At 35.4% G+C, this 14,895-nt stretch overlaps 1 protein-coding gene and 1 long non-coding RNA gene across 35 annotated transcripts in view; one reads left to right on the top strand and one right to left on the bottom strand.

Moving 5' to 3' along the window:
- Positions 1 to 14,895, top strand: part of KIF21A (kinesin family member 21A) — a 149,893-nt gene that overhangs the window by 113,584 nt on the left and 21,414 nt on the right. For 8 of the 33 annotated variants that reach the window (XM_047429128.1, NM_001173465.2, NM_001173463.2 and 5 more), the window contains 5 exons: positions 3,213 to 3,273; positions 3,644 to 3,698; positions 6,655 to 6,869; positions 9,524 to 9,631; positions 11,336 to 11,464. In XM_047429128.1, coding sequence (XP_047285084.1) covers positions 3,213 to 3,273; positions 3,644 to 3,698; positions 6,655 to 6,869; positions 9,524 to 9,631; positions 11,336 to 11,464 — 568 coding nt within the window. Of the gene's footprint in view, positions 1 to 3,212; positions 3,274 to 3,643; positions 3,699 to 6,654; positions 6,870 to 9,523; positions 9,632 to 11,335; positions 11,465 to 13,566; positions 13,606 to 14,293; positions 14,309 to 14,895 lie in introns of all 33 variants that reach the window. The other 25 variants (XM_047429133.1, XM_047429129.1, XM_017019611.3 and 22 more) reach the window with 7 other exon arrangements.
- LOC101927019 (uncharacterized) lies at positions 1,390 to 13,605 on the bottom strand. 2 transcript variants are annotated; one of them, XR_007063276.1, is made up of 3 exons: positions 13,517 to 13,605; positions 2,915 to 3,022; positions 1,390 to 1,475 (listed from the first exon to the last, which is right to left on the bottom strand). It is a non-coding gene; the product is annotated as an uncharacterized LOC101927019 (long non-coding RNA). The 2 variants fall into 2 exon arrangements; XR_001749084.2 differs by lacking the exon at positions 1,390 to 1,475 and adding an exon at positions 1,793 to 1,867.

Here is a 14,895-nt window from a genome sequence, read left to right as displayed (position 1 = left end):
TAATTTATTGTGTTCCTCCTTCTTTCTCTCCTCCTCCTCTTCTTCTTTATCTTTCTCCCCCTTCTTCATCTTTCTCCTCCTTCTTGTTCTCCTCCTCCTTCTCTTTGTTCTTAGTGGCTCAATTCATAGAAATATATGCTGTCTTTTAACTTGAAAGATAAATTGTTTGATGTCTTTATGTGCAGAAGAATATTAAATTGCTAATTTGATGAGCAGTGTCTCTGTTTTCCAACTTTCAAACAAATTTCAATTTTCTATAGCTTGAAGGGTCAGAAGCAGAGAGTAGGAACTCATTCAGCTAATGTATCCTATGACTCATGGCAGAAATTTGCCCTAGGGACTGGGGCTCTCTCTAGACGAAAGGAGCTAAATAAAAAGCATGAGATGAGAAAACAATGAAATTTAAACCCACAGAAGCTAGAAAGTTATAGGTACATTGCTTTAAAAATCATTTAGTTGTTCTCCAGTTTTATCACAATCATTGGGCTGGATGCTGGGATTCAAAGATGAGTGAGATGCTGATTTTGTCCTTATGGACTTGATGCCCTACTGAGGAGGAGAGACTATGAACAGATTATGATATATTGCAGTGAAGGCAATGATTGAGATCTGTAGAGTTATGGGAGCACAGAGTGGGACTACCTAACAAGAATGAAGGAGTTAATGAAGGCTTTCTGGAGGAGATGACATTTAAGCTAAAACATAGTGAAGAAGAGTTAGTCAGGAAAAAGACAAGGTTGAATTGGGGCCAGAGAGTTGCTCCAGGCAGAGGGGCAGCAAAAGCTAAGGCATAGGAATTTAGCCACACTTTTGTGTGCCTGAGGCCTACAAACAGGTTGATGCTCCAGAGCAGCAAGTTCATGACATGGAATGAGGGAACTGAAGGGTAGAGGATGAGCCAGGGCCAGCGCCCCATGCTCACAGGGTTGTACTTTTGTAGCCTTTAAAGAACATCCTTATTTTTCTATATCTGTGTTGGGATCCCCACGGTCACCACTATCATCAGAGATTTGCTAGAAGACTCAGAGGGCTTAGCATATGGTTGTATTCATGACTAAGATTTATGATATCAATGTTCATAAAGGGAAAAGACACAGATGGACTCTGGAGGAATCTGTATCCAGGCATTTGTATCTCTCTCCCTACGATAAGAGTTCACACAGAGTGCTTTCTTTCTCCAGAACAAAAAACGCAGCAATATTTGTGCAATGTTTATGTCCAGGAAAGTCCAGTAGATGCTCAGTGCCCCAGGGTTTTACTGGGGGGGGTGACATATGTACCTTCTGTCAGTCTAGACTTCCAGAAGGAAAGCAAGTGTTCAGCATAAGCCATATTATTTGCACGAAGTTTCTAGTGCACCGTGAGCCACTTTTATTGGCTAACAGTTGACTGGGAACGCTCTGAGAGCTGTTTTTAGATGTCAGCCAAAGTCCAGTTTTCCAAGCAGGCCTTTCTAAGGACGGCGGTCTCAGGGGCTGCAATGTTAAATTTTTAAATATATAATTAGTATACAGAAGCTATATATATAAAAAACTTTTTAAAAGAATAACTTTAAAGGAAGACTTTTAAAAATCCAACTGTTTGGTTAACTTCCAGTGAAGTGAGACTGTGAAACTTTACAATGATATAGATTAACTTTAGGGTATTTGGGAGTTTTGTTTTGTCTTTGGCTTTAAAGCTATTGTGATAAGAAAAGAAGCTAACCTTGGGCTAGAGTTGTGTTCTCAGAGTTGAGAGTACAACAGTGAGTTGTTTGTGTGTCCTGCTGCCCAGGTAACCATAATGCTTCAGACCAAACTTGGTCCTGAAGAGGGCCTGAGTTGGTGACCATCTGAGTGAGATCCTCTGGGCTCTGGCCAGACTGGTTCTGTCAAGACACCATTATCTCTAACTAAGGCATACAGGCATAAGCAGGAGTTAAGAGCTTTTTACGAAGCACTTGCATGATGTTTAACATTTAATTTCATCACACTGTGCAAGAAAAATACTAGCAAATCTTAGCCTGCTGTTAAAACACATGGAAAACAGAGGCTAGGTTTGTCATTTCTTTATAACATAATTTTCTATGTTACTGACTAATTCAGTACCTTAGAACTCAGTTATCTTTTCTGTGAAGCAAGTCCTTGAGCCTCCCTCTAATGAGATACATATTGCCTTCAAAATCACCATTTTTTTCACTTCAGAAAGTAAACCCCTTTGAGTGAGTCCTAGATATGATTCTATTTTAGGTAATAATACCAAGTATTACTGAACAATGAGAAAGGAAGAGAACATTTGTGGAGAGAAATGAATCAATTGACTAATGGTGCCATAGCCTACCTGTATTATATAAAATTAAAAATTAAAAGGGGATGAACCCTATATATTTTTCTTTAATGTATATGTTGCTCATAATTTTGTCTTTAGATTTATTGAATGATTTTTATAATAAAATATACATTAAAAAAACCTACACCTATGTTAGGGGCTCGCTGGCATTTTAAGTCGTTTACTTTCTGTGGCTGTTTTATTTACTGACTTCCTAACAGTTTTATATGTTTAATTCTTCTCCCTTTTCACTAGTCTACTACAGTTGTTCTGAAATAGCAGTGGTTTATTTGTATTAGTTTACAGAGCTGTTGCATGCAAGCCTATTGTTTTTGTCTTCTGTGTTCATGTGAATGAGCTGCATGCTGATGTGTGACTTCTGAACACCCTCATGCACACCTTCTCTCTGTATGTAGGCAAAAATACAAAAATTAAAAAAGGAAAAATATTCAAGTACATTGGCATAACTGATAAAGTATAACAACTATATTTACACTTTATGTAGTATTCTTGGTTGACTCAGTACATTAAAGGAGGCTCATGTAGCATTTACTTTATATTTTTAAACAGTGGATTATTGTATGTTTGGATGGTACAGGATACGTACATGACTCTTCAGTATTCATATGTACCCATCTCATTCAGAAGGATGTTACTCTTCTACAGTTTACCATTCAAAGTCATGGTTTTCCTATTTGAACATGTTTTACTCATTCTAGAACACACAATCAAAGGAGAGTTTTTAGAAATACTTTTCTACAATTCTGTCTATTTAGATTCAGCTACTAAAACCATCGTGCCCATATTGAGATGTTGAGCTGTTGTTTATTACAGCCTATGGATTGCAGTCACCATTCAAACTGTGACATGGGGATAATGCTTACATTTTAAACATTTTTTTGTAGAAAATGTAGAGGATAGTACTGATGAGGATGCTCCTTTAAACAGCCCAGGATCAGAAGGAAGGTAAGAAGGCCTTTAGAAACAATAGAGTTGACTTATTTACATATTTTAAATACTTTCATCTTGTATCAAACAATTACCATAAAACAGAAATAATTTTCAATCTAATGGCCTAGTGAATAGCACTTAGAAACAGTAAATAGAAACCAAGTTAAGTCATGCTTAACTATCATAAATTTTAAAATGAAAATATTGAAATATTTAAGGAACATAAATGAATTATTTTTAAATTAATTCATTTTGACTTTAAATATTGTCTTTCTGTATTTCCCATAGGCATATAAATTTTTTGTAGTCGTTGATATAGAGGAGCTATAGTTTTCTATAATAATTTTCTATTTAATCTTGTGCTTAATTATTTATTTGCACATAGCACGCTGTCTTCAGATCTCATGAAGCTTTGTGGTGAAGTGAAACCTAAGAACAAGGTAAGGAGAACTAAAAGTATCAGGTAAACATGTTTTACACCATTATTTGTTATCACTATTTAACACATAGGTTCAGATTTGACTCTTAATAGATTAGCAAGAGGGCATGGTTTTACTAAAGCTCTTCTTTATTTAGTTTTTTTAATCATATTTCCCTTTAAGTGGTAACTGAAAAAATTTATATTAAAAAATTTCTCTGGCCAGATACGGTGGCTCATGCCTGTAATTCCAGCACTTGGGAGGCCAAGGCGGATGATCAGGAGGTCAGGAGATGGAGACCATCCTGACTAACACGGCGAAAACCCGTGTCTACTAAAAATACAAAAAAAAAAAAAAAAAATTAGCTGGGCGTGGTGGTAGGTGCCTGTAGTCCCAGCTACTCGGGAGGCTGAGGCAGGAGAATCTCTTGAACCCAGGAGGTGAAGCTTGCAGTGAACCGAGATCGCGCAACTGCACTCCAGCCTGGGCGACGGAGCGAGACTCCGTCTCAAAAAAAAAAAAAAAATTCTCCTTGGTGGAAATTGGGCTTTACTGTATTCTTATATTTTTCCCACTAGATAACACAATTATGGAGGGTGATTCTTAAGCTGCTGATTAACTAAATTGTAGACTCTGTAGTGGCATACAATCTCAGTCATTTAGATTGGCAGGAGATTTTTAAAATTTTAGCATTCTAGTGTGTTCTTAAGTGTTTCTTATTTGTTTAACTGTGCCTTGAGGTGGTTTTACTAATAATCTAATCTGTAATTATTATGTGTTAAAAATTTATGAAGCTATGATGCGTATTTGTAGGGTTTTAAAAAATGATATAAATTATACATGCAGTTAAATGTGTGAGATAGCTATGGTACATATCAGGTTGAATGTGGTAGCATTTGATAGTAGGTGATTTGACTAACAATCATACAATGTTTGAAAACAAAGAATTCTTGCAGTGCTTATTAAATATTGTTGAATGAATGGATTGAATCAGGACCTGAAATAATAATACTGTGCAATGGATAGTATATATTTAAGGCCCACAGTGGTTAATCAGGTAATGCAAATGACTAATTTAGCTGGATATACAATGAACGGTTCATCATTATGATTTCCTGGAGAGTACATGCCCCATCTAAAAGGAAATAGCCACCATCAAGTTTTGCTCATTTTTGCTGTGTGGGAATATGGGCCTAAGGCTACCAGATCCTTTGTTTTTTCAAGAGAATTCTTAAATACGGATTTTTACATAGATTTCACGGATTATTAAAACACTGGTTAAGCCAATCAAAAAACATCTCCAGGCTCTTACACATGATCTTTGAGCTATTGGCTTCGCAACATGTGGTTTGTGTTTTATTATTCTAAGTGTCTAAACAGAAGTTACCAAAACTCAAATAAAACATTCTGCTATGGTTCGGATCTAGTCCTAAGCAAAGGAGAGAATCTCTTAAGATAAATTTGATCTTTCAGGCTCTGAGAAAGCCTATTTAGTTATGCCACTGTGGGACATTAGAGAGAGATGTGAAGTGGTGGCCTAAAGGTCATCTCCTGAAAGAACCACCTGGCTTAAGAATTCCCAAGAAAAATTTCATCTCTGCTCTAGGTTCTTGGCTGTGGAGAGAATTAAGAGTATAAAAAATGGCTACAGGGCTTTCTCTTTTAAAACATTTTCTGAAGTGCTACCTGCTACTCCGTTTGAACTGCTAAGATGCCTGAAAAGGATCTCGTATCATTTCTTTTTTTTTTTGAGGCAGAGTCTTGCTCTATCGCCCAGACTGGAGTGCAGTGGCGCGATCTCAGCTCACTGCAACCTCCGCCTTCCGGGTTCACACCATTCTCCTGCCTCAGCCTCCTGAGTAGCTGGGACAACAGGCGCCCGCCACCATGCCCAGCTAATTTTTTGTATTTTTGGTAGAGAAGGGGTTTCACCATGTTAGCCAGGAGGGTCTCAATCTCCTGACCTCGTGATCCACCTGCCTCGGCCTCCCAAAGTGCTGGGATTACAGGTGTGAGCCACCGCACCCTGCCGGATCTCATATCATTTCTTTTTCATTTATTGAAAAAAATGAAGTTGATTATATATTTTAAATTTGTATGTACCAGCAGTGTGTTAAGAGCTGGGGCTATACAGCTGAAAAAACAAGTTTGCTCCTTTCTGGAGGCTTATAATCTGGTAAAACACTTGATTATCTGTTAGTACTTTAGTGACATCAACAACTAACTGAGCAATAACCGGATAGTCACTTGGTTGTCAAGAGTAAGGAAAGGAATGCTTATAGTGAGTTTAGATTCTAGGAAAATAACCTTTACTTGCCTCAGAAGGCTGCCCAAAGCTGATACTAGCTGGTGTTGTCCAGTGGGCAAATTAAACATATATTTAAGGCATCATGGGAAGAGGCTTACAATAATTGAAAAAAAATTGTATTAGAAAAAGAAATTAAGCATGGGAAAAACCAGGATTTAGTTGAGCTTTCCTGCAATTATCTTTTGGTTTAATGTCTTTCTTCTTCTTCTTCTTTTTCTTTTCTTTTTTTTTAATTATATGTTGAGGGAGCTGGCCGCAAGTGGCAGGAGAGCACAGTAAATGTTGGAGGCAGACAGCCTGGCCTTGAATCTGGCTTTGCCACTTACTAGGTATATGACCTTGGCCAAATTACTTAGCTTTTTTGCCTCAGTTTCCTCAATTTGGAATTGAGATAATGATATTACCTATCTCGTGCTAATATAATAATGTGTTTGGAACAGTGCCTGGCATATAAGTACAATACAAATGTTGGCTATTATTTTGGCCTCTAAAGGTTTATCTAGCTATATAGCTCTGGCTTGTCACTATCTCACATGCTATGTTTGGCACACCTAGGAAAAGACACGCTAAATGTTTTACCTATTTCAAACTCATATAAATCTCTGTTCTCTAATCAGCTTCTATGCAAGAGTTTGCTCCTGATTGCTTTTCCTTCCATTCTTTGACTAGGCCCGAAGGAGAACCACCACTCAGATGGAATTGCTGTATGCAGATAGCAGTGAACTAGCTTCAGACACTAGTACAGGAGATGCCTCCTTGCCTGGCCCTCTCACACCTGTTGCAGAAGGGCAAGAGATTGGAATGAATACAGAGACAAGTGGTACTTCTGCTAGGGAAAAAGAGCTCTCTCCCCCACCTGGCTTACCTTCTAAGATAGGCAGCATGTAAGTTTGGCCCAGCTACACTAACTTCTTTTCTTTTGGCTTTAAAAAAAAAAGTATGCATGTTGCTAATTTCTTATTTCTATTATTTAAAATTTATATAAATTTGATCTCTGGTTTTCGAAATAATTTGCTAGGTGTTGTCTCCCCTAAGGTATTGGAGAGTTGAAATAATTTAAGATGAGATGTCCTTTGTTGAATTGCTTTGTCTTGTCTCCAAGTTTTAGGATCATTCTTAAGGGTTATAATTTTTATAAAGGCTGACTTATGAATTACAGAAAATACATATATAGAAATACCTAAATTAAAGTTATACCTATAAAACCATTATATAACTATTATGTATAAACAGAAAGTTTAGACTCTTAAATTTGCTCTAAATTACCTATATCCTAGTTTTAAGAGTCCTGTCAGGATAGTAAATGTTTGCTGACTTTTAAAGAAAAAAGAAAATACCAATTACAAGTTTAATACATTTTGAGCTTTCCTAATTTTTTACCTTGAAGCATATTGCATATTCTGGGATGAGTGTATGCCCCAAAAATATTTTTATTGGTATTATTAAAGATTTGAAGGAGGAAATATTCTCTTTCCTATGATAATCTGAACAAAAAACCTTCTATTCAAAATAAATCTTGCATAGACTATTTTTAATTATTATCTTGAGGACAAAGAAAGATTTTCCCACATAGTCCTGTGTGTGTATGCGTATGTGTATGTGTGTGTGTACATATGTGTACCATGTGTGCATGTGTGTGTTTTGATAGTTATATTAATATTAGATTAGTCATTCACTGGTAAAGATTTTTAACGTTATTTTTCAAACTAATCCTCACATGTGATCTAGCAGATAATTTATGGAATGAATACATCTCTGCACTGAGGAATATTGCCCCCCCAAAAGTGGCACACACTATATGATCTGTAAATAATACAAAATAACAAACTTTCCAAACTTGAATAGCCATTTTTCATAATATTCTTCATTTTATGAGGACATTTCCATTGTTTTCCATTCAGTATCCCATCTGCTACCTTTTGTTCCAGAATTAATTTTAATGATGGCAGAACTTTCTTGCATGTGCTTGAGGTGGCCTATGTAATTAACTGTTGGATCTGCTGTTAGAGATTGCTAACCAGAATAGTTTATGGCTTCATTGCTTTTGTGATAAGATGAGAATAGAAGAAATGCTTTTGGTGAAGGTAGTGATGTAGAACTGAGGTCAGATTTTAGGAACTAAATGTGTTAGGTATTTAGTCTGTCAGATGAGTGAGACTTTTGGAACTTCAAGACTAAATCTGTGGCCTGGAATCCAGATTCAGGTAATCTATTTGTCTTTTTACATTTTAAAAATGTATCCTTTATGACAGGTTGTAAAAAATATCTTTTGGGCTCTGCCTCTAAATAACTTACTTTAAAGTTTTCATAAATTCACATGCTTATACTCATATATTTGTAATTCTTTATACATTGTGAGAGTTTGGTCACTCACTTGGTGCAGTAACTCTTATAAGCCATTACTGCGTAATTTTACTCAGGTGATGCTTATAATTTAAATGATGCAGGATTGCTAAAATGTGATTTCCTGATTAGAAAAAATCAAGCACACAAAATTTAATTACATTTAGTTTTTGCTTTTAAATAGGAATCATGCAAACCCATTCTGGAAGTGTTGCTGTCTAATTCCTTAGTGTTTTTTTTTTCCCAGACTTTTTTTTTTTTTTTTTTTTTTTTTTTGGCAGAGTCTTGCTCTGTTGCCCAGACTGGAGTGCAGTGATGTGATCTTGGCTCACTGCAGTCTCTGCCTCCTGGCTTCAAGCGATTCTCCTGCCTCAGCCTCCCAAGTAGCTGGGATTACAGGTGCCCGCCACCACACTCAGCTAATTTTGGTATTTTTAATAGAGACAGAGTTTCACCATGTTGTCCAGGCTGGTTTTGAACTCATGACCTCAAGTGATCCACCCACCTCAGCCTCCCAAAGTGTTGGGATTACAGGTGTGAGCCACCATGCCTGGCCCAGACTTTTTTTTTTTTTCAGTTAAAATTCATTACCACCATATACAAAAATTATTTTCTTGAATTTTTAATTACAAGCAGACATTTGGCATTTAAAATATTTAAGGCCAGAATACTTTTATTACTAAAATGTACATAGATACAAATTAAATACTAGCTAAGTAAAATAATTATGTATTTTTGTGTGTGTGATTACCTATAGAACTATTTTGTGATTGTGTCTCAATATTAATTCATTAAATCTCATTGTTTCTCATATTCTGATATTCTAATATTTTTGTTCTTACAAAACTATAAAGATAATTTTTCTTCATCTGAAATAATTACCAATGAAATTAAAACACATCTAAAATATTTGTTGTGGCTATTTGGCGGTATATCACTGATATTTATATTCAAAGATAGTAAGTTGTTACATATTTAATAAGATCACCAATTTAAAAATTATAGTTGCTGAGCTTCCATCAACTAAATATAACTCATGTAGTATTTTCCTATGTTAGTTTTATTTTTTGTTCTCAAGTAATAATCTTTCTGAGGTTCCAGTTATTAACCTATTACAAATTTTAGATTGACTATCTACCAAAGTTGTATGTGCAAATTTAGAATTAGGTAATTAAAGAATCTTCTTTTACTTTAGTTCCAGGCAGTCATCTCTATCAGAAAAAAAAATTCCAGAGCCTTCTCCTGTAACAAGGAGAAAGGCATATGAGAAAGCAGAAAAATCAAAGGCCAAGGAACAAAAGCAGTAAGTGACTAATGTTTTTTACCTGCTAGACTGTATTAAATGCCTGCTGCACTTAGATGCTAAAGATAATCATGAAATTATTTTCCAGATTTAGGCTGGTGCTGTGGTTATGACTATTTGACTAATCAAGACAGTCAAGTCAGCTTTTGGCTTGGCTCGGTGGTCTAATATTCTTGGTCATACATATACCTGTAAAGATATTTGAGCACTTGTCCCTGATCATGTCCACTTACTTACTTGCCAGTTATTTGTGTATATCATTTTAAGAGTTAATATATACTTGAGGTAAGGCTTATTAAGTCTATATTTCAGATAGTCTTCTATTAATAGAAAAATTTAGAATTAATTTTGACCGTCATTGCCATGTTAGCTAAAACTGATCTTGACCCTACCTCTTTAGAGTGGCTGACAGAAAAACTAATATTAATCATAGGGTGTGTTATTGTGCCATTTTCTTGTTGCTCTCTCATGTTTACATTGTTGGTATTATCCTCAATGTTTCTTCTGTGTGTTTTGTGAGGGTTAGTTTACTTAGCAGTACATAGTATAATCTGATTATCCACTTAACTGGGCGTTTACAAATTGCAACATGACAGCATGCAGAAGTTGATTGGATTAGAACCACTGTTACCCTGCCACCCCTCCCTCAGTTTACCTGTTCTGCATGTGACAGGCAGATCTCAGACATGTCCTTGAAAGCATTTATGCGAATTTACATTTAAATATTAGTGAAGTGAATTACTTTAATTTCTTTGACATAAAAATAAATGTGAATATATTTAAAAAGAAGTGTTCATTTATTTTCCGTGCCTAAATGGACAATTCTATACCATCCACTACCCTGTGCCAAGATGCACACTGTCTTTTTTGACCATGGGTTTAGCTGACTTGAATGTCATAGAAATTATCCTTTTTTTTTTTTTTTGAGACGGAGTCTCGCTCTGTTGCCCAGGCTGGAGTGCAGTGGCGCTATCTCGGCTCACTGCAAACTCCGCCTCCCGGGTTCACACCATTCTCCTGCCTCAGTCTCCCGAGTAGCTGGGACTACCGGCGCCCGCCACCACGCCCGGCTAATTTTTTTGTATTTTTAGTAGGGACGGGGTTTCACCATGTTAGCCAGGATGCTCTCAATCTCTGACCTCATGATCCGCCCGCCTCGGCCTCCCAAAGTGCTGGGATTACAGGCGTGAGCCACCGTGCCTGGCCGAAATTATCCTTCTTATCACCCTTGCTTCCTGTACTTAAAGATGTAGTTTGCCTGTGTCTACTGAATTAAATCTCTCAAGAATAATTGGGAAATGGGGATGGAGCACATAAATGATTTAAAAATAGATGAATGAACCAACTGAATAAGCAAACATCTCGTAAGCTCTCTGGGTCTCTTTCCTCATCTGTAAAGTGAGCAACTTTCTCTTGATTCTAAAATTGTATAATTTTAAATGTGGCTTGCTTTATTCTTATACTGACTTCTGATTTCAGCAGACAGAATCTTCTCTTTAGTGCCATCTTGTGGCCAATGTAACAAAATCCAGTGAAAAATTTTAAAAATTGTTCAGAATGCATTTTATCTTACAAAAAAGGAAGAAAGGAAAGAAGGAGTTCTCTAATAAAAAGCTTTTTTTTAAAAGAGCATGTTTCTTATAACTTTTCTAACAAATCATAACCAATTAAAGCCACCTACTTAATGTTCTTTTTTTCTTGTAGCTCAGATTCTGGAACTTCAGAGGCTAGTCTTTCACCTCCTTCTTCCCCACCAAGCCGGCCCCGTAATGAACTGAATGTTTTTAATCGTCTTACTGTTTCTCAGGGAAACACATCAGTTCAGCAGGATAAGTAAGTCATTATGGAAAAGAGCCCCAATTATTTATATAATATTCTGAACCTGTCAATACAGTCTGTAGAAAACATGTAGTCATCTCTGTGTAGGAGATGGAGCCTGACGTGTGAACTCTTGCCATATTTTATGCATCTTTCCAATGGGAAAGGAACCATGCAGCCAAAATTAGAGAAAATTATTTTCCTGCTGAACATTATTCCCTGTTGTAGATTTGTATTGGTATGCCTTCAGCACTTGTCTTGCCTTTTCTTTTACAAGTAAATTAGAACTGAAAAATCTTTGAGACCACTTGATGTTTAAATTTTTGGAGATTCTTCAGCTTCTGTGAGCCCACAAAAGCCTCTAATTTAGATAGCCTGAGTTGGAAAGAGGCAAATTACTTTACTTCTGGGGGATATAACAGTTTACAAAGACCATTGTTACAAGTGCAACACGTTTTTGTCATCTGATTGTTCTAGACAAGTTCACCACAAAATTTCAATAATTGTGTTCTTGGAATAAAAAATCACCTTTACGGATGGAGAGAGTAGGACTGGGAGTGGGTTGCAGGGGTGGAGAAGTTGGAGGGATGTGGAAAATGTAAATGTCATCAAATTTGAAATGACAAAGTATCCACACATTGAGCCAGAATCTCTCTTGCAAGAATGCCATACTAACAATACTGCCATAAGGTATTTATTAACTCTGACTTGTCTGCTTGGACTTGGAATGATAATGATTGTTTTCTGCTATTGCCTCCCTGTATAAATCAATAATCTCTAAAATTTATAGGATGCCATTTAAGATCTGTCTGTCTGGCATGTTTAGATCATTTTAAATGGCTCTATAAACTTAGAGAATCATACCGTAGTTTTTAAAGAATTATAAATATACTTAATTTATGGATAATTCTTTTATTTATGGATCCTTCATTAGATTTTAATATGGTTTAATTAGTAGAAGATATGTTCTTTACATTGATCTAGGTAGGTAAATATTTTCCTGTGTTATTAAACAAAATACTCTTTAACATTGTCAAATTATTTCTGTCATTAATTGAGAAAAGTTGAACATTAGGAATACTTTTGGGAAGTCAAGTTTCACTAGGTATACGAAGAGTTGCTAAATTTGTGTCTACCTTGCCTTCACAGTCAGAATATTTTCTGTCAATCTTTTGATAATCTTGACAACCTAATCACAGTTCCATATTTTTTACTGAAATACTTTATGAGCTACCAATAATTTGACTCTGTTGTCATCTCTATAAACTAAAATGTAGAATAACTGACTGCTCTACACTTTCAAAAACTTGACTACCCCTTTACATTACTTTCTCTGGGGCTCCTTTTTGAAGCAACCATATCCCACTAGCAAGACGCAGATCTCCCACATTGTTTCAGGTTACATTCTATGCTAACGCTCACCATATCCTCATTCTCCTCAAGCCTGTTGTACAGTCGAATAGATTTTCTTAATAACCAGACTCACTGCAGTCTTGGAGGCCTCAAGGTAGGGCTAACAGAAGTGACTTGTCCATTCTAAAAGCCCACTAAAGTACCCCAGCTGTTACTCAGATGCTCCCTAGTCAAAAGAACTCAGTGTTTTTGAGATAAGTTAAAGCCAAAAGTTATTAAATTTTGAGTGACTTGCTTTCTATGTGAAAACACAATCTATTTTGTGTAACTTCAACATTAGAGTCTATATCTAAAGTGATAATTATCAAGGTGAATAAAATTGATCAACAGTTATTGAAATGGGAAAATTTTTCCAGGACTAGTCAAATTAAATAGAGCAAACCTTGAAGTGCTATATCTCATGTACTTGATACTATTCTTCTGCAAGGCCTAAATTTTAGAAGTGAGGATAGATTTTGTATATCAGTATTAGAAAATTTTAGCCCCCAAAGTCTTGCTAGAAGACATAAATATCAAACTTTTTACGTAACTTAGCTATACTTTAAACATGCTAATATCCAGTGCAAGTAGAAAAGCAGGGCACTATGAAGGAAATGTTTGCTATATATCTGTTATTCATGCTGTTGATTTTGAGTCCAAAGTCAGTGTCCTTACCTGTTGACATCTGTATTCTTTCTCTCATAATTCTAACTCTTTCACTATAGGTCTGATGAAAGTGACTCCTCTCTCTCGGAGGTACACAGGTACTTTCTTTCCTGCCTTTCCTACATTCTGGAATTTCATTGATGTTCTAAAGTGCCTTCCTAGAAATTCTAAGCAAGTCTCATTTTTGTTGCATGCATCACTTGTTGTAAATCATATAAATGCACTAATATTTCTAAACATGATAATTTTAATACATTTTTGTGGTCATACCTTTTAGATAAAGTAGTGGTTTTTTTTGTATAATAGTTTAAAAATTGTGATACCTGTTTTCTGTCTGTAATCTGAATCTTTTCTTTAAAAGAAATCAAGTTTTATGAATATTGATGTCAAGAAGATTTCTTACTCTCAACAATTAGGTATTTCTAATGCCTCAAAGTGTGTGAGGTAGATAAGGTATTTTTTTCTTGTTGGTTTAGCAATTTTAAGTAAAAAGATTATATGATTAAAAATAAAAATATGCTAGAGAAAAAAAGGATACTATTATACCAAAAATTAAAAAGAATAGGAAATAAACACTAAGGAAGCATTTTTTAAAATAAATATTCTTAAGAATAGGTGCAGCTTTAAAAATAACTGTTATTTTTTTTCATTTTATGGATTTTTCTGGGGGTCCTTAACTTCTCTTTCTCTTTCTCTCTGTCTCATTCCCTTTCACCATTATCATTTTATGTCCTCCCTCTTTGCACTTGTTTTCCTTGTTTTATGGCCATTTTTGCTGATCATCAGCAGATCCTCCAGAAGGTAGGCAGGGGAAGGGAGAGGAAATTAATTTCATTTCCAGTATCAAAAGACCTTACAGGTTTGCATGGAACAAAAATAAGTGTTTATTTTTTTCTCTCCTTCAGATCAAGTCTGTTGTACAAATTTGCCATATTTAACCTTAAACTTGTTTAAAGTTGATTTTATATTTCAAAATGTGAATAGATTAATTCAAATAGAGAAATACCATGGCTGTATGTTTCTAATATCATTAAGTTTCTATTATCTTTGGTAGTTTATATAAAATATTAATCCTAATATTCTGAATATTTAAGAACATTTTAAAGTAATAAAACACTGTGTTTAATATTGAGATTTTTTTTCTCAAAAGACTGAATAATCAATGACATAAAAATACATAAGAATGAAAAAAGGGCATCCTGATCTCCTGGAAATAACTGTGCCATACATAAGTTACTGGGGCAAATATTTACTGAGTATTTTATGATACTATAACCTTTGACATGACAGAATTGTGTTGAATATTACATCATCAGGGAAACATTTAATAGATTCTTAGGATAAAGCTTGTAATCTGAAGGAAAGAAACCTTTGGAGACACAGTATTA

The sequence above is a fragment of the Homo sapiens genome, chromosome 12 (genome assembly GCF_000001405.40).
Source record: "Homo sapiens chromosome 12, GRCh38.p14 Primary Assembly".
Classification (NCBI taxonomy): Eukaryota; Metazoa; Chordata; class Mammalia; order Primates; family Hominidae; genus Homo; species Homo sapiens.
The sequence above is the reverse complement of the archived record's forward strand: the minus strand, read 5'-3'. Positions and strand labels throughout refer to the sequence as shown.